Source organism: Homo sapiens, chromosome 2 (assembly GCF_000001405.40).
Source record: "Homo sapiens chromosome 2, GRCh38.p14 Primary Assembly".
In the NCBI taxonomy this organism is placed as follows: domain Eukaryota; kingdom Metazoa; phylum Chordata; class Mammalia; order Primates; family Hominidae; genus Homo; species Homo sapiens.
The window spans coordinates 164,252,468-164,253,222 of NC_000002.12; the positions used below are offsets into that span (position 1 = coordinate 164,252,468).

Sequence of the window (755 nt, forward strand, 5' to 3'; positions counted from 1 at the left end):
CTATTTTTCTGACTATTATTAAGAAACATATTGTATTGCTTGCTGTACCACAAGGTACCCCAGTATCATCGTCTATAAGACCTTCAGATTTAACCTGACCTCCTCAGAATGGATATCCACACTACAGTATGTTAGGAGACCTTTTTGATACCACTTTGATAATTCTTTGCAAACCTCCATTAGAAACAGAGAAAAGCCACTTCAAGAGTGTGCACTTAGAGCTTACTGTTTACCTATACACTCATAAGATCAAAACCCCTGGTCTTACTGTTTTTGTTAACAAGGAGCAGTAAAAGTCTTCCCACATACTGAGTTTTGGTTTCCATTTTACAATCTGAGATGACAGACGGCACAAAAATGATGAGAAAACTGTGGGGAGGCTTCCAGAAGATTGATTCTCTCATCAGCTGATTCTTTTCTAGTTAGTCTTTTATTGACTACAAAGGTATAGCCAATGCAGAAAAGGAAAACCAGACTGCCCTGTTTAATCCTGAGGGCATTGGCAAAAGGTGATCACTTTTTGAGAAAACAGAGGCCTACAAGGAAATCAGCACACTGTATGAGCCGTTAAGCTGATTTAAACACACAAGGGATGCCTGGGGTTGAGCACAAGATCTCTGAGGTGTGAGATGAGAATGAAACCATTGCAGAGACTAATATTACTGAGCTTTAGTAGCAGGTGGTACAGTTGATCAGTCAGGAACCTGTCATTTGGAGAATAGGCCAATATATCTGAGAGACATGAAAAATCCTTC

General features: G+C 39.7%; 1 annotated feature.

Moving 5' to 3' along the window:
- Positions 315-544: an enhancer, noted in NCBI's record as "active region_16725". NCBI's record gives its function as "activates an Ori minimal core promoter by ATAC-STARR-seq in GM12878 lymphoblastoid cells {active_cell/tissue: GM12878}" and the evidence as "EXISTENCE:reporter gene assay evidence [ECO:0000049][PMID:35858748]".